A 24,853-nucleotide genomic window follows, 5' to 3' on the forward strand; every position below is an offset into this window, starting at 1 on the left:
GTAGGAGGTTAAAAGTATAAGACATACTACTTGTCTTCAAAGTTTATAACATAATTGGGAAAACAAGATACACACATTTTAAAAAGACAACTAACAACACTATGTCTATTCTGATTTACTTTTACATCTTTATATTTCACTCTTTCTCTTGGTAACCCTTTCAGACAAACCGAAATACCTACCATCTCATGCTTTCCTACTTTTGCCCTGATTCACGCTGCTCCTTCGATTGGGAATGTCCACCTTTGGGTGTTCAAATACTATATTCCCTTTGAGACCCAACCCATCTCCTTTGGGATACTCTGTCCTTTTCTCCCAGGTGAAAGGTATCTTTAAGTTTCCACAGAATTCTATCTGTACCTCTTCTATGGCACTCAGTACTTTCAACTCAATAATCATTGAGTTAAACTTTTTTTAAATTTCAAATTACTGAGTTGTTTACTGCTGCACTATTCACAATAGCAAAGACTTGGAACCAACCCAAATGTCCAACAACGATAGACTGGATTAAGAAAATGTGGCACATATACACCATGGAATACTATGCAGCCATAAAAAAGGATGAGTTCATGTCCTTTGTAGGGACATGGATGAAGCTGGAAACCATCATTCTCAGCAAACTATCACAAGGACAAAAAACCAAACACTGCATGTTCTCACTCATAGGTGGGAATTGAACAATGAGAACACCTGGACAGAGGAAGGGGAACATCATAAACCGGGGACTGTTGTGGGGTGGGGGGAGGGGGGAGGGATAGCATTAGGAGATATATCTAATGTAAATGACGAGTTAATGGGTGCAGCACACCAACATGGCACATGTATACATATGTAACAAACCTGCACATTGTGCACATGTATCCTAAAACTTAAAGTATTAAAAAAAAAGAAATAATTATATTTAATTATTTTGCATATCTCTATTCTTCTACTAGATTATATTTCTTTAGGTCAGAATCCAGGCCTAAATTATACTGATGTAGTTCAAAGTACCTTACACAATTAAAAAAAAATTTTTTTCTTGTACAGATGGGATCTCACTATGTTGCCCAAGGCCTGTCTTGAACTCCAGGCTCAAGCAATCCTCCTCCTGCCTTGCCCTCACAGAGTGTTGGGGTTACAGGCATGAGCCACTGCGCCTTGCCCCTTGTGATAATTTTAAGTGCCAAATGAAAGGCATAAATAGTGACCATTACAGTGGATTATTAAGGGGAAAATGTTACTATGAGCTAGTATGATTTGGAATGGTTTCTTAGAAGTGTTGAAATTTAAGCTGAGTAGCAGAGAGATTAAAGCCAAGGGGAAAAAAATGTTGGGGGTGGGGAGGGAAATAACAGTACTCTAAGTGTTTAGATACTATAAAATGTGCAGGAGAAATGGTGTCTAAGAAGAGAATTTAATTTGGCCACAAGTAAATTGTTTAAAACTTTCAGGAATGTAACTTCAGTAATTACTGCAGAGCTACCAAATTTTAGAGCTGAAGCGTTTCCCGTGGCTTTTGAGCTGTGCTCTTTCAAGCTCGAGAGGCCCACACGGACGGCTGCTGATGTGGCAACAGGCTCAAAGCTTGCCACTCAAAATTAGTACAGAATAGCTCACTTGTATACAATGGGGCTCCAAGTAAGGGTTCCAAAGATTCAGACTAGAAAGACAGCTTACTACAATGAATCCAGACCAATTCACTCATTTTACAGAAAGGAAATATTGAAGGCCGAAAAGTTAAGGCACTTGGTCAAGGGGTAATGAATGCATTAACTAATGAAGCAATGGAAGCTGGGAGAGAAAGTCACTTATAAAGGAAGTTTGGAAGTGAAAGAAATGAGAAGATGGAGATGGGAAATAATAGTTAAGAGGCAATCCATTCCAGAATAAGCACTGTTTAGGACAGGGAGACTGAATTGACTGAAGGCAGAGGAGCCAGTGAAGAGAAACTGATTATCAATACTGAATACCGCCGAAATGGTGCACAATCAAAAGAACAAAATCCAGAGGAACCAAGATGGGAAGGGAAGGAGATTACAGGCAATGTTGTTGGACAGGGGAAGAAAGAATACGTGCAAATTTTGAAATAGAGCTGGTAAAGCTGGGTGCAGTGGCTCATGCCTGTAATCCCAGCACTTTGGGAGGCTGTGGTGGGTGAACTGCTTGAGCTCAGGAGTTCAAGACCAGCTTGGGCAACATGGGGAAACCTGTTTCTACTAAAAATACAAAAATTTAGCCATGTGTGATGGTGTGCACTTATGGTTCCAGCTACTCGGGAGGCTGAGGTGGAAGGATCGTTCAAGCCTGGGAGGTGAAGGTTGTAGAGAGCCAAGATCGAGCCACTGTTCTCCAACCTGGGTGACAGAGTGAGACCCCATCTCAAAAAAAATTAAACTAAATTTAAAAAAGAATGTAGATGATAGAGCTCATTAACGTCAGAAGTTACAGTTATTTATCAAAAGTGATAATGAAAGAGAAAAATCAGTAAGTTGATTACAATTCAATTAATTCTATATATTTGTGGATTGGAAGACTTAACATTAAGATGGCAAAACTCCTCAAACTGATCTACAGATTTAAAACAGAAATTGACGAACTAATCTTAAAATTCGCATCTAAAAGAGCCAAAACTATCTTGAAAAAGAAGAATGAAGCAGGAGGACTTATACTTCCAGATTTCAAAATTTACTACAAAACCACAATAACCAAGATATTGTGATAATAGCTTAAGGACAAGACATACATATCAAGGAATAAAATTCAGAGTCCAAAAGTAAATCCTTACATTTATGGTCAACTGATTTTCTAAAAAGGTGCCAAGGTAATGGGGAAAGAATAGTCTTTTCAACAAATTTGATACCCACATACAAAAGAATGAAGTTAGACCCCCCCCAACCAACTCCCACACCTCTCACATCATAAACAAAAGTTAACTGAAAATGGATTACAGGCCTAAGTGTGAGACCTAAAACTATAAAAATGGTAGAATATAATATAGGAATAAATCCTTATGACCTTAGTTAGGCAATGGTTTCCTATATAAAATCAAAAGCAGCACAAGCAAACAAAAAATAAATAAATTGGACTTAATCAAAATTTAAAACTTTCATGCTTCAAAGGACACTATCAAAAAAATGAAAAGATAGGCCAGGCACTGTGGCTCACACCTGTAATCTCAACACTTTGGGAGGCAGAGGCGGGTGGATCACTTGAGGTCAGGAGTTCAAGACCGGTCTGGCCAACATGGTGAAACCCTGTCTCTACTAAAAATACAAAAATTAGCCAGGCATGGTGGCACACTCCTGTAATCCCAGCTACTCAGGAGGCTGAGGCAGGAGAATCACTTGAACCTGGGAAGCAGAGGTTGCAGTGAGCCGAGATCACACCACTGTACTCTAGTCTGGGCGACAGAAAAAGACTCTGTCTAAAGGAAAAAAAACGCACACACAAATGAAATGACATTTAGGAAATATGTCTGCTGTTGGGACTGAGGAAGAGTTTGGCACTTCCTCGAAAAGTTTAACAGAATTATCACATGACCCAGCAATTCCATTCCTAGGTACATATCTAAAAGAATTGAAAACATGGATTCAAACAGATGCTTGTATGCCAACACTGATCACAGAATTATTCAAAATAGACAAAAGGCAGAAGTAACCCAAGTGTCCATCAACAGATGAATGGATAGAAATATGTGACACATACAAAGAATGAAGTATTATTCACCTAGAAAAATGAAATTATGATACATACTACAACATGAGTGAATCTTGAAGACATTACGCTAAATGTAGAAGCCAGATACAAAAGGGCAAATGTGGAATGATTCTGCTTATATGCGGTATCTAGAACAGGAAAATTCAGAGTGATAGAAAGTAGAACAGTGGTTATCAGGACTGAAGAAGAGGGGAAAAGAGAGTTATTGCTTAATGGGTACAGAGTTTCTATTCGGTTACACAACATTATATATGTACTTAATGTCACTGAATTGCACACTTATGATAAACTTCATGGTATGGTTGTAAAAAAGTGAAGACATAACTCCAGAATGGAATAAAAAATATTTACAAATCATGTATCAGATAAGGAACGTGTATCCAGAATATAAAGAGAACTCTTACAACTCAATGGGAAACACACAACTAATTTAAAAATAGGCAATGGATCTGAATGCGCATTTCTCCAAAGAAGATATACAAATGACCAATCAGCACATGAAAAGATGCTCACCATCATGATCATCAGGGAAATATAAATCAAAACCACAAGATTTCACTTGATTTCACCACTTCACACCCACGAGGATGGCTAAAATAATAATAACAAAAGCATGGATGTAGAGAATTGAAACCCTCATACAAGGCTGGTAGAACTGTAAAATGGTATTAAGTGCTTTGGAAAACAGTTTTGCAGACCATGAAAATGTTAAATATGACCCAGCAATTTCACCCCTAAGCACATACCCAAGACAACTAAAAATGTGAAGTTCACACAAAAACTCATGCACAAGTATTCATAGCGGCATTATTCACAATGGCCAAAAGAGGAAACGGCCCAAATGTCCCTCAACCAATAAGTGAATGAAAATGTGACATATCCAACTATAAAAATGGAATGGAATATTACTCAACTATAAAAAGAAAGAAAGTGCAGGCTACACACATGCCCCAAATAGGCAAATCCACAGTGACAGAAAGTGATTAATGGTGACCCAGGGCTGGAAGGGAGTGGAGAATGGGGAGTGACTACTAACAGGTATAGGTTTTCTTCTGGGGGGTGACAAAAATATTCTAAACACCAGATAGTGGTGATAGTTGTACAACTCTGTGAACATACTAAAAACTAATGAATTATACATTTTAAATGGGTGGGTTTTCTGAAATTGTGAATTATATCTCAGTAACGTTATTTTTAAATATGCATGGTAATACAATTGATACTATGCAAAGTGAGAAGTTATTTTTTTCCCTCAAGGAGCTCAAGATTAATTAAAAAGAAATTAACTGGAGAAAGCCGAGTGCAGCGCCTCACGTCTGTCATCTCAGCACTTTGGGAGGATGAGGCAGGCGGATCACTTAAAGCCAGGAGTTCAAGACCAGCCTGGCTAACATGGCGAAACACCCCCAAGCCACCGTCTCTGAATGAATAAATACACACATACATACACAAACTGGAGAAAACCCATGTTTAAATTACTTGCTACATTCTAATAGATGAACCAATAATTAACAGTTTATTTAACTAAAAGCAACACTACGGCATTTCCTTTAACAAAAAAGTCAACCAGGTGTGCTGCCTCAAGCCACTGATCCCAGCACTTCGAGAGGTTCAGGCGGGAGGATCACTTGAGTCTAGAAGTTCAGGACCAGTCTGGGTGACACAGTGGACCCTGTATCTACAAAAAATTTTTTAAAATTAGCAGGGTGTGGTGGCACATGTCTGTGGTCCCAGCTACTCAGAGGTGCAGGCAGCAGGATTACTTGAGCCTGGGAGGTTGAGGCTGCAGTGAGCTGTGATTGCGCCACTGCATTCCAGCCTGGGTGACAAGTGCAAGATCCTGTCTGCAAAAAAAAAAAAAAACCAAAAACCAAAAACCAAAACAAAACCAGAAACATTAACGCCTTAAAAGTAATTTGTACAAATGTTCTTTTGTTGCTAAAAACAATCCTCCTCCCAACTAAATAGAGCAATTATGATGGCTAACTCAGTCAAAAATGAATGCAAACATAAATTCACCTTCCATGGTCATTTATTATTTTTTGATTGGTTCTCATTTTTTATTCCTGTCTCTTGTTCTCCTTTAGTACATATTTCCTTCCTTTTTTACTGTACCATCTTTTTTCATATCCCTTTTCCTCCCTCCCATTCTTATACTCATCTCCATTCCTTTCTTTTAAAACTAGCCATTCTAGATATTTTTAAAATTTAAGTTTTGCCACTTAAGGATCCCTATTTATGGATTAGGGAATGTATTTACAGAGTTAAAAAAAAATCAAAACACTTAAAAAGAGTATACAGGAAAATGTCTTCCTCCTATCTTTGGCCCCGACAAAGGTAACTACATTTATTTGTTTGTGCGAGTTTCTTTACAGAGTTTCTTTCTTTTTTCTTTCTTTCTTTTTTTTTTTTTTTAAAGACAGGGTCTCGCTATATTGCCTAGGCTGGTCTCGAATTCAGGGACTCAAGTGATATTCCCACCTTCTGAGTAGCTGGGATTACAGGCATGCACCTGGCCAGGTTTCTTGACACAACATAAGTAAAAATGAATACATAATCTTTTCTACTTTTCCCTCATTCTTTTACAAAGATAGCATATTTAATTCACTGTTCTTATCTTTTCTTTTTCCTTCAGTCAACAATGTATTTTGGAGATCTTAGCAGCAGAAAGAGAATTAGCTCATTCTTTCTGACAGCGGATGTTATTTATTTTTCACTGATGGAAAGACATACTACAATTTATTTAATCAATCCTCTATCATTTCCCAACATTTGCTATTATGATTTTGTACTGGATAACTTGTAAATGTATTAATTCACATATATGCAGGTATATTTGTGGAATAAACACTCATAAAAAGAATTTCTGGACAAATAAAACATATGTTCATGATTTTGAAATGTATTACTAAACTGGTCTCCACAGGAAATGCTATGAATCTGTACTCCCATACCAGCCATGGATGTGTTACTATTTCCCTATAACTCACTATGTTGTCAAACTTTCTGATGACTACATATCTAATAGGTGAAAAAACATTATCTCAGCAGGAGGTGGATGGAGCCATCTTATATTTCATCTTCTGCGAACTGTCTGCTCGTATCTTCCACCTACTTTTTTGTAGTTCCAGGTTTTTTGCTTGATGACTTGAAATAGCTTTATTAAGAAGGTTGGTCTTTTGTCTATAATGAGTTTCAGGATTTTTTCCTGGCCTTTCCCCTGCCCTTGAATGGTAGGGGTAGAGTTGTTTGCTAGTAGAGATTTTCATTTTTATGTAGTTGAATGTATCAATCTTTTCTTTTATGGATACTGGATTTTGAGTGTTATTTAGAAAAGACTTCTCCACTCCGATCTGCTCATATTTTCAGACACATAAGTTTAAACTGTTAAGTTTCATTTTTTACATTAAATCTCTCATATGGCCGGGTGCAGTGGCTCATGCCTATAATCCCAGCACTCTTGGAGGCCGAGGCAGGTGGATCACCTGAGGTCAGGAGTTTGAGACCAGCTTGGCCAACATGACAAAATTTCCCGTCTCTACTAAAAATACAAAACTTAGCCAAGCGTGGTGGCACACGCCTAATCCCAGCTACTTGGGAGGCTGAAGCAGGAGAATTGCTTGAATCTGGTGTCGGGGAGCAGGCAGAGGTTACAGTGAGCCGAGACTGCGCCACTGCACTCCAGCCTGGCAAAGGGGTGAGACTCTTGTCTCAAAAACAAAAACAAAAAAAACAAAAATGAAAAACAAATCCTCATATATTTGGAGCTTATCTTGAGGCAGAATGTGAGGTATGGACAAAACTTTTGTTTTTTCAGATGGCTATCCAGTTTCCCCAACACCATTTGTTGAAAAGTTCAGCTTTTCTTGATCACACTTACCATTCCTTTATCATAATCACACACTAATTAAGTTCCATGGGTCTATCCCTAGACCTGCTCATCTGTTCCACTAGTGTGACTGTTCATAAGCCAGAACCAAAATGTTTCAATTCATAAGCCTTTATAATATCCTTTATTGTTGGTAAGGCTAATCTTCCTCATTGCTTTTTCTGCATTCTTCTCGTTTGTCCTGCTGGACCACTTTCCATATAAATTTCAGAATTAGCTTATCTAGAATTAGAGGGAGGAGAGTTCTCTGAAGTGTTTATGTTAACTTATGAACAATTTGATATTATTTACCATGTTTACTCTTTTCACCTAGGAAGAAAAAAGATACGCCTTCCCATTTCACAAACCTTTGTATCCTCCGTAGTGCTTTGAATGATTTCCTCATATGGGATTTTCTACATCTTCTTAAATTCATTCCTGGGCTTGTCTTCTCATTGATATTGTGAAAAGAGTGTTTTCTTCTGTTATATCTTCTATTCCCTGCGTATGTGTGTGTGGCTATACAAAGGGTATGGTTTTCTGCTATTTTAATGAATTTACTTATTTGCAGTAATTTTTCAGTTGAACCTCTTGGGTTTTCCAAGTTTATAATCATATTGCTTGCAGAAAATATTTTTTAACTTATTTTTCTCATCCACTATTCTCAAACAATTAAAAAGAAGTAGTGATAATGGGCTCTACATCTTATTCCTGATGTGTGTACTTTCGTATGTTTCTGATTCTTTTTTTTGAAGAGCAGGGTCTCACTCTGGCACCCAGGCTGGAGTGGAGTGACACAATCATAGCTCACTGCAGCCGTGAACTCCTGGGCTCAAGTGATCCTCCCCAACTTCAGCCTCCCAAGTAGCCAGGACCACAGGCATGCACCACCATGCCCAGCTAATTAAGAAAATTTTTTTTATAGAGACAGGGTCTTGTTACGGTGTCCAGACTGGTCTCGAATTCCTGGCCTCAAGTGATCCTCCCAACTCAGCCTCCCAAAGTATTGTGATTACAGACATGAACTACCACGTCTGACCTGTTTCTTGATTCTTGAAATAAGAATAAAATGACTGATATCTATTTTTCCTGAGAAAAATAAAAACACTTAAATGAAAAATTCCCTTATTGAGAAAATCCCTTTATCATTTTTCCCCTTGAGGGCTAAAGCCTCTCTACTGGAAAAGGAAGATAAATCTATACAGCACTTGAGTGATTTCAAGAATGACACAAAAAGCTTATCTGAAAAGTATCAAGAAATTTTAAATGTTTTTTACATCCAGGAAAGCAATAACACGGTAAGGAAAAAAACAATCTCCAGGTGTCCCACAAAATGATAATTTTCCCCTACCCAAGGGCCCTAAAGTTTCTCTTCTAACAGTTTTCCAGTGAGACTGTTTCCCCAATGTGATGTTTCTCCCTGGTAACTCTGACATTGCACACAATCAGCTGTTTATGGATAAAAATTTTTACTATAATATATGGGTAACTGTTAAGGTAAACTATATATGAGAGAGTTATAAAGACATAAGATTTATGTATAATCTAGCTCACTATGGTTTGACATACTAATCTGATTTTTGGCAACTGCAAACCTTCCTTTCCCTCTTCAAACCATTCCATCCGGCTGCTGCAATGACCCACCATATCAAAATGGTTCTTGTAAATCACACTCAGGTCACCAATACAACCAAGTCTCTTCAGAAATCTTTTTTGTTTTTTTTTTTCTGAGACGGAGTTTCGCTCTTGTCCCCCAGGCTGGAGGACAATGGTGCCATCTCGGCTCACTGCAACCTCCACCTCCCTGGTTTAAGTGATTCTCCTGCCTCAGCCTCCTGAGTAGCTGGCATTACAGGCATGCACCACCATGCCCAGCTTATTTTTGTATTACTAGTAGAGATGGGGTTTCACCATGTTGGCCAGGCTGGTCTTGAACTCCTGACCTCAAGTGATCTACCCGCCTTGCCCTCCCAAAGTGCTGGGATTACAGGCATGAGCCATCGCACCTGGCCCAGAAATCTTACTAGTCCTCTCAACAAGCATTCAACTCAAAGTGATCCCTTTCTTTTTCTTGAAACTCACTTTTGCCTTGGCATCTATGACATCCATACTCCTTCAACCTCTCCAACTGCTCCTTCTCAGTGGTCTTTCCAGCTCACCCTCTTCCTTCCAAATGTGAAATGTTTTAGTTCTTCAAAACAAGCTTTCTGCTTATCTCATTCTATATTTTTCTCTTTGGCATGAAGGGAAGCCCATCTATCCATAGCTTTAATTACTCTCAAGATCTCCAAAACCACATATCCAAACTGCTTATGTAATATATCCACTTCTGTAACACTTAAGGATCTCAAATACATCATATCCCACAATAAACTTAGGGACTGTGACATGGTTTGGCTCTGTTCCGCACCCAAATTTCATCTCAAATTGTAATCCCCATAATCCCCATGTGTCAAAGAGGGACCAGGTGAGAGGTGACTGGATCATGGGGGCATTTCCCCTCATGCCGTTCTCCTGATAGTGAGTTCTCACGAGATCTGACTGCTTTCTAAAACAATTTTCCTGCTCTTGCTCGCTTTCTCTCACCTGCCACCACGTAAGACTTGCCTCTTCCCCTTCCACCATGATTGCAAGTTTCCTGATGCCTCCCCAGCCATGTGGAACTGTGAGTCAATTAAACCTCTTTTCTTTATAAATTACCAGTCTTGGGTATGTCCTTACAGCAATGTGAGAATGGACTAATACAATCTTCAACTTACAGCTTATGCCACAAATGGCACTCCTCTCCCCTCTAAACTGCACAAATGAGAGAACTGTACAGCTTTTTTCTTCTTTATCCTCTCTCCATATTTGGACAATTGACAGGCCCTACTGATTCAGCCTACTAAATACCTATCAAATCTGTTCACTTCTCTCCACTTCCCACTGTCATCACCCAAAGGTCAAGACACCATCATCCTGTGGTCTAGCCTATCACATAATATCCTCCTAAGGAGTAGTTTCTCTGGGATCTATTATCTTCTTCTAATTCCACATTACAGCCAGCCTCTGTTTATTTAAGTAAATCTGATCATGTTTAAAGCATACTATTGGTCTTCTGCTGTTCTAAGAATAAAAATTAAAACAGGGTCCTCTATTCTTCTGGCCCCTACCTTTCTTGTGTCTGACCTGTCTTCGCAATTCCCCACTCTGCTTTCTGAGCTCTAATCAAAGTGGCTTTCTTTCTATTCCTAAACTACCATGCTTTTTTCTTACCTCCATAATCATTTTCTGCTGATTTTTTTCTACAAAACTTCCCCAAATCAATTCTTTGTTATGACAGCAAATGTAAAGCACTTAATACTCAAAAAATGGTATCCACTGTTGTATTAATCAGAATATATGTGAAAATTATTTTAATAATAAAGGGTCTTCATAAAATCTGGGTGAAAAATAATGATGAGACTATGACAAAGTTAACATGGCATAATAAACACACTTGACAACACAAGGAAACATCCATATTTAATAAATTACAAAGGGTAGACAATAAAATTTTCAAGCATCATAACTATTACACTAACCAAAAAAAGATCATGTACCATTATGTGATGCAACATAAAATAGTACTTAAGAGTACAGGTTCTACAGCCAGATGAGCTGAGTTTTAATGCTGGTCTCAGCATTTCTTACTGTGAGAAATAAGCATGTATTTAAACTTCTACGACTTTATATTCTCATCTGCAAAATGGAAATAATAGAATATACCTCAGAGCCAAATGTTAAATGAGATAATTAATGTGAAGTAGGAATTTAAGAAAGAAGCCTAGCACAGTAGTATAACAGCTCAAAAAATGTTAGCTATTAAGAACAGGAATGAGGAGGTTGATAACAAATGATTACTTACATATTGATTATACGTACATACTGATTATAATTATAACCATACTTACATATTGATTATAATTATAACCCAGTGTCTGGGCTATATATCCTAAATGAAAATATCCTTAAGCTGAACAATAAACTTGAGAAAAGGTGAAACAATGACAATTACTAAAATAAATCCATGGACTAATAACTACATACCCAATAATTTTCCTTAAAACTTTAGAAAATATCAGAATATCTTTGGCATATAGTGCTTCCAGGAGGTTGGAAAGATCATTTATCAGGCTAAGTAGAACCCATATACTATGCAGGAAATTACATCCTATAGGAAATCATCTGAGACTAAATTACAACCAATGAAGTAGAATATAAAAACTGAGAAGCTGCAACACTAACACAAAGACATGTCAATGTCAGTTAAATCAAAGTGGCAAAAAACTCACAGGCATTATGGTAACTAATGAAATAATTAATTTTTCTGGGTATCAAACTTTTTAAATAACACCTTTCTAGTATAGAATGGTTTTCTTTCCCTAGAACGCAGGGCAGTGAGAAACTTCAAATTCTGCATTTCAAACTTCAGAAAGATTGGCAATGTTTGCCCATTTTGTAAAATAACAGATTGGGGTCACTAACTCCTCCCTCCCCAAAAAGAAAGTTTAAAAAATTATTTTTTCTGGGTTTTCTTTTGCAGAGTTATGAAATTACACATTTATATACACTGTAATATTTAAAGTAGTCTATTTCTCAAGTTTCTTAGGATGAAACAGCAAATGAGAGCAGGAAAACTTTTTTTTTTGAGACAGAGTCTCACTCTGTCAACCAGGCTAGAGTGCAGTGGCGCAACCTCAGCTCACCACAACCTCTGCCTCCTGAGGTTCAAGCGATTCTCATGCCTCAGCCTCCTGAGTAGCTGGGATTACAGGGACGTACCACCAGGCCAGGCTAATTTTTTTGTATTTTTAGTAGAGACAGGGTTTCACCATGTTGCCCAGCTGGTCTCAAACTCCTGACCTCAGGTGATCTGCCTGTCTCGCCCTCCCAAAGTGCTGGGATTACATGTGTGAGCCACCATGACTGGCTGAGGGAAACTGTTTCGTGGCTTCCACAGATTAGGTTTTAAACTTCCACTTTATGAGGGAGCCATCAATGAAAACTGATCAATTACCTCTAGTAAGAGCAACATCCTCAGGAAGCCCTATGCACAAATTAAAGATCTGAGAGTTGATCTAGGAAGTATACATGAAAAATACAAAACAAAACAAAAAAACCATTGTCCTAATTCCAAAATAAGCTGAACACCATATATTTATGACACTTCCACATCTCACTTTTCTATCAGCCAGTTATACACTCGGTACACAACTGGTACTAGCATCTAAGCATATTAACACTAAATAATTGATGTTCCAATGATGGCACCTATGCAGTACAAGACCTAAATTAAAGCAACAGCAGTTACTGTAAACACCATCTAAATATGACGTATGTAAAATTAGTAAAATGGCTGGATATGTAGGCACCAGTGAATTCTTACCAAACACAAATGAGTTAGAATCCCAAAACGTACAACAGATTTTTAAAAACAATGTTTACTAAAAAGTATCCTGACTTCTAACATTTTAAATTAGTCATGTCTATTTCTGAACTTGATATAAGCCCCCCAATTTCCAGCTACCTCCTGAAAACAAGTGCCCTATAATAAGAGCTCAGCAGTGAAGGCTACATTAAGCCCATAATGGACTTACCAAATCTGATAACTCTATGTTGAGTCCCCTTAAAAGAAACCCATCATCAGCTTACTCTTCATATAGAACTGTAAAAATGCACATCGGCTTTCTTCCCTTTAAAAAAATTAACTAGGGTATAAAAGATGAAGGACCATTCTCTCAGAAAGCATACTTTTTTCATGACTAAAATCATTTTCCTAATCAGGGTCCTGTGGCTTTTTGCCCACCCATACGATGTCACTATTATTCTGCCACAATAAAATGATTTGCTTTTTTTATACTAGCTGCAACTTACACTTTAATTTCATATACACTGTATTTCAGAAACATGGTTTAGGTGCTCTAATTTGAGCACAGAGCATTAACACTACTTTTATGCAAAGAAACGAGAGAATCAGACTCAGAATTAGTGACAAATTCAGCAGCTATCTCTTCTGGATTTGGCTGTCAATTAAATATCTAAAAAGAATAAACAAGCACTACAGGTTCCAGGAACACGAAGTGTTCTGCTGCAAGAGGTCTATTTCTTAAAGTGTCATCTTAAAAATGCAGGTGTAATTTGCATTTCAATCTAGAATACCTGTCTTATTTCTCTCTTTAAAGCTTAAATCTCTATTCTTGTACACCATACACGAAAAAACAACTCAAAAAGGATTAAAGACTTAAACATAAGACCTGAAACCATAAAAATCCTTGAAGAAAGCATGGGAGAAAGCTCCTTGACATGGGTCTTGGTAATGATTTTGTAGATATGACAACAAAACCATAAGCAAATAAAGCAAAAATAAATGAGTAGGACGTCAAACTGAAAAGTTTCAACATGCTCAACAAAATGAAAAGATAACCTATGGAATGGGAAAAAACATTTGCAAGCCATATATTCATCAAGAAAAGCTAATATCCAAAATGCAAAAGGAACTCATACAACTCAATAGCAAAAACCTACAAATAGCCTACTTTTAAAATGGGCAAAGGACCTGAATATACATTTTTCCAAAGAAGACCACACATTTTTCCAACAGGCATATAAAAATGTACTCAACATCACAAATCATCAGGGAAATGCAAGTCAAAAGCATGAGATGTCATCTCAAACCTGTTAGGATGGCTATTATCAAAAAGTCAAATGATAACAAGTGTTGGTGAAGCTGTGAAGAAAAGAAACCACTGCACACTGCTGCCGAGATTGTAAACTGACAGAGCCATTATGGAAAACAGTATGGAGGTTCCTAAAAAAACAAAAAAAAACTAAAAATAGAACTACCATATGATCCAGTAATTTCATTTCTGGCTATATATCCAAAGGAACTGAAATCATTATCTTAAAGAGATATCTGAACATTCACTGTAGCATTATTCACAATAGCCAAGATATAGAAACAACCCAAGCGTCTGTCAATGGATGAATGGATAAAGAAAATGTGGGGGGTGTGTGTGTACATAATGAAATATTATTCAGCTTAAAAAAGGAAAGCCTGTCATTTGTGACAATGTGGATGAATCTGGAGGACATTATATTAGTTGAAATAAGCCAGACACAGAGAGACAAACATGCATGATCTCATTTATAGGTGGAATCTAAAGAGGCAGAATTAAAAAAACAGAGTAGAATAATAGTCACCAGGAGCTATGGTAAGGGGGAATGGGAGGATTTTGGTCAAAGGTTACAAACTTTCAGTTGTAAGATGAGTTAGTTCTGGAGATATATAGCATGGGACCTATAGTTAATAATTTGTAAACATGGAATTGTTGAGAGTAAATCTTAAGCGTTCTCACCACACACACAAAAGATAGTTATGTGAAGTGATGGTTATGTTCATTAGTTTGACTGTGGCAATCACTTCACAATGTATACATATATCATGTTGTATACCTTAAATATATACAATTTCCATTTGTCAATTATACCTTGATGAGGCTAGGGAGAGGAATAAATTATCCTCACCAGGTGATGAAAGTTTTGCCCAGGTCATGATGCTAATAAACCAAGCCTGGGAATCAACGCTGGCTGGCTGCCTTTCATCTCCAGAAAAGCTGCTTCAGTGCCTTATTCATCTGACATAGCTTATCTCAGAGCATCCCTGAGTGTGGACCTCTGATTACATGTACATACTTCTTTCAAATAATCTGTAACTTACCTGTAAGAAACTCATGATCAATATTTTCTATAGTTAAAAAAAATGTAGACCAATAATATGCCAAATGGCACCCCAGTCATTAATTTATTTAGCAAGTATTAAGTTGTTACTAGTGTCTGGTCTTCTTCCAGGTAGATGACAGCAGTTGGAATAAGTTGAACCTAAGTTTTCTGGGGTTTTTTGTTTGTTTTTGTTTTTTGCATTATTTGACTATTTGGTTAGTTCTGAAAGCATCATCACAATCAAGACAATATATTTATCTTAAACCACAAAATTTCCTTTTATTCTCTATATTTCCTTTCTCCTGCTCCTCTCTGTCATCCCCATCCAGGAACAAATTGTCTGCGTCTGCTTTCTATTCCTATAGTTTATCTTAATTATCATTATGGATCTTTTCAAACATACACAAAAGTAGAGAACACATAAAGATCCCTCGCTTATCACCCAGCTTCAATAATTACCAATAATCAGCAAATTTTATTTCGTCTAACCCTTCTCATTATTTCTTTCTTTGCTACTTTCTTATTTTAGGCAAACTTTTTACTAGAGTGTAACAGTCATAGAGAAAAGTAAATAAATCATAATCATAGCTCATTAAATTTCCACAAAGTCCATCAACTCACGTAACCAGCACTCATAATCAAGAAATAGAACATTATGAGCACTTCCTAAGTGCCTCTTGAAGCCTCACCTGATCAGCATGTCTAACTTCTCAAAAATAACCACTATCCAGGCTTCTAATACCACAAATTAGTTTTCTCTTTTAACTACCTTTTTATCAAGGAAAATTTAAAGCATATAGAAAGTACACAGAAGGTACCCTCACTATATTTTAGAAGTAAACATACTGAACTGTAATAGATGTACAGAAAAGTATACAAACCGTCTAAGTGCCGTTTGAGGAATTTTCTCAAAGTGAACACACCTGTGTAATTAGTAGCTCAATAAAGAAAGGGAACATTAGACACTGCAGAAGCACCTCCACCCCTTTTCTCCATCAGTGATCACTATCCTAATTTCTAACACAATTAATTTTGCCTTATGAACTTCACATGAATGGAATTATATAGTATATATTCTTTTGTGTCTTTTAGTCAATGTTATGCTTGTAAGATTAACCCACAATGATGGGTCCAATATTCATTCCATTCATATACCACAATTGATTCATTGTGGTAGATTCTTGATGGAAATCTGGGTTGTTTCCTCAGTTTTTGGTGACTACTAACAAGGCTGCTTAAATGTTCTTATCCTTTGGTGAAAATATGTATGCAATTATATAGGGTATATAGCTAGGAGTGGAAATGGCAGATCATAGGGTTTGTGTATGTTCAGTCTCCACAGATTACCGAAGTGGATGCACCAATTTACAGACTTGCCAGCAGTATGAGAGTTCCAACTGTTCCACATCCTTGTGAGTACTTTGTACCACCTGTATTTTTCATTTTGGCCATTCCAGGGTATATGCAAGTGGCCTCAGAGTACAGTTTTATGTAATTTTCCTGATGGTTAATGAAGCTGAATACCTTTTCATACATCTAACCATTTAGATATCCTTTTTGTGTTTCTGTGAAGTGTCTATTCAAGCACTCTGCCCACTTTTCTACTAGCTTGTCCTTTAACAGATTTGTAGAAATTCTGTACATATTCATCAGGCTTGGTTTTTCACCTTCTTGATGGTGTCTTTAATGAACAAAAGGTCTTAACAATAATGTGACCCAAAATACCAATTTTTCCATTAAGATTAGTACTTTCTATATCCTGTTTAGGATTTTCCCCCCATTCCAAGTTGTGACATTATTCTCTGAAGTTTTCTAATAGAAGTTTCATTATTAAAAAAAAAGAAGTTTCATTATTTTACCCTCGTATTTAGATCTACAATTCATCCAGAAATGATTTTTGTATATGGTGTAAGATAGAAAGTCAAGATTAATTTTTCCCCCTAGACCTAGCAACATTCATTAAAACATCATCCTGCCAGGCCTGGTAGCTCACGCCTGTAATCCCTGCATGAGGCGGGTGGATCACGAGGTCAGGAGATCGAGACCCTCTTGGCCAGCATGATGAAACCCCATCTCTACTAAAAATACAAAAATTAGCTGGGGGTGGTGGCGCATGCCTGTAATCCCAGCTAATCAGGAGGCTGAGGCAGGAGAATCACTTGAACCAGGGAGTCGGAGGTTGCAGTGAGCCGAGATTGTGCCCCTGCACTCCAGCCTGGCGACAGAGCAAGACTCTGTCTCAAAAAAAAAAAAAAAAAAACCCACAAAAAAACACATCACCCTTTCTCAGCCACACTCCAGTGTCATCTTTACTGTACATCAAGTGAATGTAATATATGTAGGTCTGTTTCTGGAGCAACTGATCTCTGTTTCTCCCTGTGCCAATTATACAATGTTTCAAATGATTATAGCTTTATAATATATCTTGATATCCAGCTTAGCTCCATGCTTTTCCATATATGTTTTAAAATCAGTTTGAAAGCTCTCCCCTCCCGTTCTCTCCCCTCTCTCTCTGACACATACGCATCTGCTGGTATTTGATATTTTAACTGAAATTGCATTTAATTCATAGATCAGTTAGTAGGATAGACTAACATTAGTCTCATAATCAATGAATACATTATATCATTCCATTAAGTTTTTTCATATCTCTTTATAATGTTAATTTAGAAGTCTTGCACATCAGGTCAGATTTATTCCTGGCTATCTGATCCTTTTAAGTTATTTTAAGTGGTATCATCATAACATGTTCATGTTCTATTCATTGGTATACATAAAAACACAATTTTTGAATACTGACCTTGTATACAGTGATAACTGATGAATTTACTATAAATTATCTGCAAGTTATTTTGAATTTTCTATGTATTTAAAATAATTTGTGAGTGATAGTTTCCTTCTTTCTTTACTTTTTTTTTGTTCTGGCCTTACTGCACTGACTAGGACCTCCAATACCATGTTGAACAGAAGTGGTGATACCAGGCATCAATCTCAGGGGGAAAAATTTTAGTATTTCACCATTAAATAATTCAATAGTTGTTATAGATGTTTGCTACATAGTCAGATAAAATAAGTCCCCTATTATTCTAGTTAAGATGTTACTAATAGGAAGATGTTAAATTTCACCAAATGTTTTCTACCTACCTACTGAGATAAAATTTCCCTCCTTAATTTGTTAATTAAGGGTGAATTTGATTTGCTGATATGTGAATATTAAGCCAGTTTTGATACTTGAAAAGTTGATGTTGTCATGATAAATTATATTTAAATACTGCTGGATCTGACAGTTAATACTCTACATAGAACTCTTAAACCCATGTTGATAAGACAGAAATAGGTCTGCAATTTTCTTTTCCTGTCATTTCTTTCTTGGGGTTTGGGTCAAGTTATGATGGTTTCATAAAACAAACTGAAAAGTGCTTCCTCTCTTTCTGTTTTCTGGGAGAGTAAGACTAGCATTATTTTTTCCTTAAACATCTAGAAGAATTCCAGGGAAGCCACCTGAGCCTGGAGATATGTGAAAAAAATTTAAATTTAGATTCAATGCATTTAGTATATACAGAATTAGTCACAGAATTATTTCACTTTTGGTAAACTGTATTATTTTAGGAACATCCATTTATCTTATTTTTCAATTTTTGAAACAAAGTTTTAATCTCTCTCCCCTTTCTTATGACTATGTAGATCTAAGTGATGTACACATTTATGTTCCTAATAATTACCATTTATATTTGATAGTGGGCTGAGGTTTGCTTTATGGCCAAATGCATGATCTCTTTTGACAAATGTACCTACCATGTACACTTGAAAATAATGTGTACTTGGTTACTGTTGGGTACATGGGCTATATATGTCACTCAGGTCATGGTTGTGTTATTCAGATCTCACAGATTATTCTATCTCACAGATACTTTGGTCTCTTGTACTACTGATTATTGATAAACACATTATCATAGGTAACCACTATGTGAATCTGTCTACTTCATTTTGTTCTGTCCATTTCTGCTTAACAGACACACGTTTAAAATTTTTTGAAAAATCTTCTAATGAAGACAACCCTTTATCATTATTAAATGTTTCCTTCATTTCTAATAATGCTTCTTGCCTTATTCTCTTCTGTCTGACATTAGCTTAGCAACACTTGCTTTTTGTGGTTGTTTCATACACTGCATTTTTTTTTCATTATTTTATGTTCTGCCTTACTAATCCTTACATATAAAGTGTGTCTCTTGTAAGAAGCATGCCATACGGTTCTGTTTTGATATGAATCTAACTCTTTACATGAAAGTATTTAGATTATTTGCATTTAATGTACTTTCTGATCTGTTTTGGATTAAATCTTTATTTGTTTTCTGTTTGTCCCATCTGTTCTTTGTTCTTTTTATTTTTCTTTACTGCTTTAAGACTCAATCAAGTATTTATTTTTCCATTTTTCTGCCATTTGATCTTGTTAGATTTTATAATCCTTTTAGTGATTATACAGAAATGAATTATTACTCTCTAATTTCAATGATTACTATTACCACTTCCACGACAATACTAGGATCTTGGAGCATTAATTCCATTTACCCGCCTCACTATTTTTGCTATTGGTGTTACACATTTTCAGACTACAAATATTTTAAGCCCCACAATAACATTATCAATGTCTGGTCTGTAAATATTCATTTACGTTTAGCCACATATTTAGTGATTTAATGTCTCCACCTGCTTTTTTTTTTTTTTTTTTTTTTTTTTTTGAGACGGTGTCTGGCTCTGTTGCCCAGGCTGGAGTGCAGTGGCACAATCTTGGCTCACTGCAACCTCTGCCTCCCAGGTTCAAGCGATTCTCCTGCCTCAGCCTCCCAAGTAGCTAGGATTATAGGCATGCACCACCATGCCTAGCTAATTTTTGTATTTTTAGTAGAGACGGGGTTTCCCCATGTTGGCCAGGCTGGTCTCGAACTCCTGACCTCAAGTGATCCACCTGCCTCCACCTCACAAAGTGCTGGGATTACAGGCATAAGCCACCATGCCTGGCCCACTCTTGACTACATTTCCATGTTTTCATATGGGATCTTTTTTTTTCAACCTAAGGAACTATGGTTTCTTTTAGTGTGAGACTGCTGGGAACAAATTTACTCAGTTTTTCTTCACCTGAAAACATTTTAATTTTACCTTCGTTTTTTATGACTAGTTAGGGAACTAGTCATAAAGGGACAGAATTCTAGGTTAGCTTTCAGCATTTTAAAGATGTCATTCCATTTTTCTCTGACATTCCATTTTTTTCATTTCTAATGAAAAAGCAGCCACTCTTCTTACTGGTTCTTTGAGGATAATTTGTCTTTTTTTTCCCTGCCTGTCTTTAAAATCTTCTTGGTCTTTAGTTTTCAGCTGTTTCAAATGATGTGCCTCCTTGGTTCGTTTTTTAAAAAAAATTTAACCTGCTTGGGATTAATAGACATGGCTTGATATTCTTCATCAATTTTGTAAAGTTCAGCCACTGTTCTTTCTCGTATTTATCTGGGATTCCAATTATAAATATGCCCAGCTTTCCTCAATTAGAATTCCATTTAAAAAAAAAAATCGGCGGGGCGCAGTGTAATTCCAGCACTTTGGGAGGCCGAGGCGGGTGGATCACGAGGTCAGGAGATCGAGCCCATCCTGGCTAACACAGCAAAACCCTGTCTCTACTGAAAATACAGAAAAAAAAATTAGCCGGGCACGGTGGCAGGTGCCTGTAGTCCCAGCTACTCGGGAGGCTGAGGCAGGAGAATGGCGTGAACCCAGGAGGTGGAGCTTGCAGTGAGCCGAGACAGCACCACTGCAGTCTGGCCTGGGTCAAAGAGCGAGACTCCATTTCCCAAAAAAAAAAAAAAAATTAAGCCCTGGCTAGGTGTGGTGGCTCATGCCCGTAATCCCAGCACTTTGGGAGGTCAAGGCGGGCGGATCACCTGAGCTCAGGAGCTCAAGACCAACCTGGCCAATATGGTGAAACCCCATCTCTATAAAAATACAAAAATTAGCCAGCCATGATGGCAGATGCCTGTAATCCCAGCTACTCGGGAGGCTCAGGCAGAAGAATCGCTTGAACCCAGGAGGCAGTGGCTGCAGTGAGCCGAGATCGTGCCACTACACTCCAGCCTGGGCAACAGAGTGAGACTCCATCTCAAAAAAACAAAACAAAACAAAACAAAAAATTAAGCCCTAATGCTCTAAGACATCCATTCTATGCAGTAAATTATCCTTTCCTACTAGTCATGTACTACCCTTGAGAGAAGTGAGGAATCCCAGTAAAGATTGTGTCCCATGTCTCTTTCTCTGTTTTCATTTTCTCTGTGATATTTCCTACTGATGTCTTTCAATTCATTAATCTTCTCTTTTGTTGTCTCTAATCTTCCATTAAACTTATGTGCAATGTTTTTTATATCAGTTATTATGTTTTCAGTTCCAGAACTTCCAGTTTTTTTTTTTTTTTTTTTTTTTTACAAACTGCAATTCTCTGGTAAAATTATTTCTCTTTTCATCTATTTTCCATACCTTTTCCACTATTTTCTTAAATGTCAGTAACAGTTTAAAAACTCTACTCTGATAACTCTAATCTCTGAATCACCCATGAGTTTGTTTTTATTATCTATTTTTCTCTTGGCTTTCTGTCATTCTGTTCTGTCACTTAGCATGGACTGTAACTTTTATTGGATGAGAAACACTGTATATGAAAAATTACAGGGACTGGATTATAATTTCTTCTTTTAAAATAGGTTTGGCCGGGCACGGTGGCTCACGCCTGTAATCCCAGCACTTTGGGAGGCCAAGGTGGGCAGATCACCTGAGGTCAGGAGTTTGAGAACAGCCTGGCCTGAACATGGCGAAACCCCGTCTCTACTAAAAATACAAAAAAATTAGCTGGACGTGGTGGCGTGCACCTGTAGTCCCAGCTACGTGGGAGGCTGAGACGAGAATCGCTTGAACTCGGGCTGCGGAGGTTGGTGGTGAGCTGAGATCACGCCACTGCACTCCAGCCTGGGCGACAGAGCGAGACTCCGTCTCTATTAAAAAAAAAAAAAAAAAAAAAAAGTTCACCCTTTCTTCTCCAGAGCACATACAGGGGATTACGCCATTTTCAGACTAGGTTATTTGTGGCAAATCCACAACTCTGTGGTTTTTCAAAATAAGGAAATGCTTCTTTTCCTTCCCATTTCTCTCTACCCTCAAAAATTTTTATTTTTAATAAAAACTGCTTCCGGATGTCTAATGTTCACCATGACTTCATAAATCCCTGAAATATTTGCAGAAGTATTATACTCATTGTTTTTTCATCTCAACTGTTTCCTCCTCTTCTGAAAACTGCTCTTGTCTTGTTACTCATTTCCTATTCTGCCTCCTTCACCTTCCCTACCTTTATAGTGTTCCTTCTAGTCAGTGACAAGCAAAGTACCAAAAACTGTAATACAATTACAATAGTAGTTCTAAGACTTTATATAACCTATTCTCTCTAATAGCATCAGGTCCCTTAATTTTACTATGGACTTTTAGATTATTTAATGTGAATGAGGGTCTTCACTTACTGAGATCATACTGTTAATTTCATATATACTGTGGTAACTGCATTTTTTTTAAAGAGATAGCATCTTCCAGCTGGGTGCGGTGGCTCACGCCTGTAATCCCAGAACTTTGGGAGGCCAAGGTGGGCGGATCATGAGGTCAGGAGATCGAAACCATCCTGGCTAACACGGTGAAACCCCATCTCTACTAAAAAATACAAAAAAAATTAGCCGGGCATGGTGGCAGGTGCCTGTATTCCCAGCTACTCGGGAGGCTGAGGCAGGAGAATGGCGTGAACCCGGGAGGCAGAGCTTGCAGTGAGCCGAGATTGCGCCACTGCACTCCAGCCTGGGAGACAGTGAGACTCCATCTCAAAAAAAAAAAAAAAAAAAAAAAGGGGGATAGCATCTTCCTATGTTACCCAGGCTGGGCTCAAACTCCTGGGCTCATGATATGATTCTCCCACCTTATCCTCCCAAGTAGCTGGGTCTACAGGTGTGCACCACTGCACCTGGCTGTAACTACATTTTAATTGCTACAAGCAAAGCATGAATCTGAAAATTAGTAAGAATAAATACAAATTAATCATATGTTAAAATATTTTCCAAATGTAATTTATTACCCATATGATATAAGTTAAATCTTTTAGTGCTTCAGTTTGGTAGTAAACTTTTATTTTAAGTAACTTATTTTACTTAAAACAGTCTAACCCATTTTTTAAGAAATAGATGTTATGTAAGAATACTTACATTACCCATTGAATATTTAAAAATTCATAATGTTCTTTAAAATATATAATAAAACTTAGGCTCCAAACTCAACAAAGAAAAATCAAATCTAACTGATATGCCAAATTTTTGGTTTTGGATTTCTGCCTATTTCAAAAAAATATGTTAATGTAAACTCATTACCCTTTTACTTTTTATTTTATATTACAGTTAGAAATACGAAGTTAATTGTATATTGCACAGAAAAATAAAATTAAACATGATGTTATATCTTGGAAAGTACTAAGAGGCCTTTTGAGAAAAAAATACTTCATCAATTTGAAAAACAATCTATGGGAAAAAAATTGCAAATCACATATCCAATAAATGAAAAACTCTCAAAAATCAACAATAAGGAAAGAAAGAATCCAATTTTTTAAATGCGTAAAATAGCTGAACAGACACATTATTCCTCTACCCAATATACAAATAAACACATGAAAAAATGCTCAACATGTTAGGTCCTTATAGTAAAACCACAGTGAGATACTAGTACACACTTATTAGAATGACTAAAATGAAATATAGCAGTGCCAAGTGCTGTCAAGGACACAGATCAACCAGAAATCTCATAAGATACTGTGGAGATGTAAAATGGTATAGTTGCTTTGGAAAATGCTATGGTGATTTTTCATAACATTAAACATACAGGCATACCTTGGAGATATTGCAGGTTCAGTTCCAGACAACCACAATAAAGCTAACATCACAATAAAGCAAGTCACACAAATTTTTTTGTTTCTCAGTGCATGTAAAACATGTAAAAGTTATGTTTACATTATACTATAGCCTATTAAGTGTAAAATAGCATTACGTCTAAAAAAAACCAATGTACATTATCACAATTTAAAAATACTTCATTGCACTGGGTGCGGTGGCTCATACCTGCAATCTCAGCACTTTGGGAGGCTGAGGAAGGCAGACCACTTGAGGTCAGGGGGCTACAGTAGTACTTTTAATTTCCTTTAAGAACTTTTTCCTTTGCATTCACAACTTGGCTTACTGGCACAAGAGACCTAGCTTTTCAGCCTCTCTTGGCTTTCAACGTATCTTCCTCACTAAGCTTAATCATTTCTAGCTTTTGACTTAAAGTGAGAGGTGTGCAAATTTTCCTTTCACTTGCACACTTAGAGGCCACTGCAGGGTTAACTGGCTTAATTTCAATATTGTAGTGTCTCAGGAAATGGGGTCACAGTAGAGGCAGAGAAATGAGGGAACAGCCAGTTGGTGGAGCAGTTGGAACACACACAACACT

At 37.1% G+C, this 24,853-nt stretch overlaps 1 protein-coding gene across 12 annotated transcripts in view; it reads right to left on the reverse strand.

The window, feature by feature from the left end:
• ZNF148 (zinc finger protein 148) overlaps nucleotides 1-24,853 on the reverse strand; it is a 149,686-nt gene that overhangs the window by 9,550 nt on the left and 115,283 nt on the right. The gene's annotated exons all lie outside the window — the stretch shown is intronic.

The sequence above is a fragment of the Homo sapiens genome, chromosome 3 (genome assembly GCF_000001405.40).
Source record: "Homo sapiens chromosome 3, GRCh38.p14 Primary Assembly".
NCBI classification, from domain to species: Eukaryota; Metazoa; Chordata; class Mammalia; order Primates; family Hominidae; genus Homo; species Homo sapiens.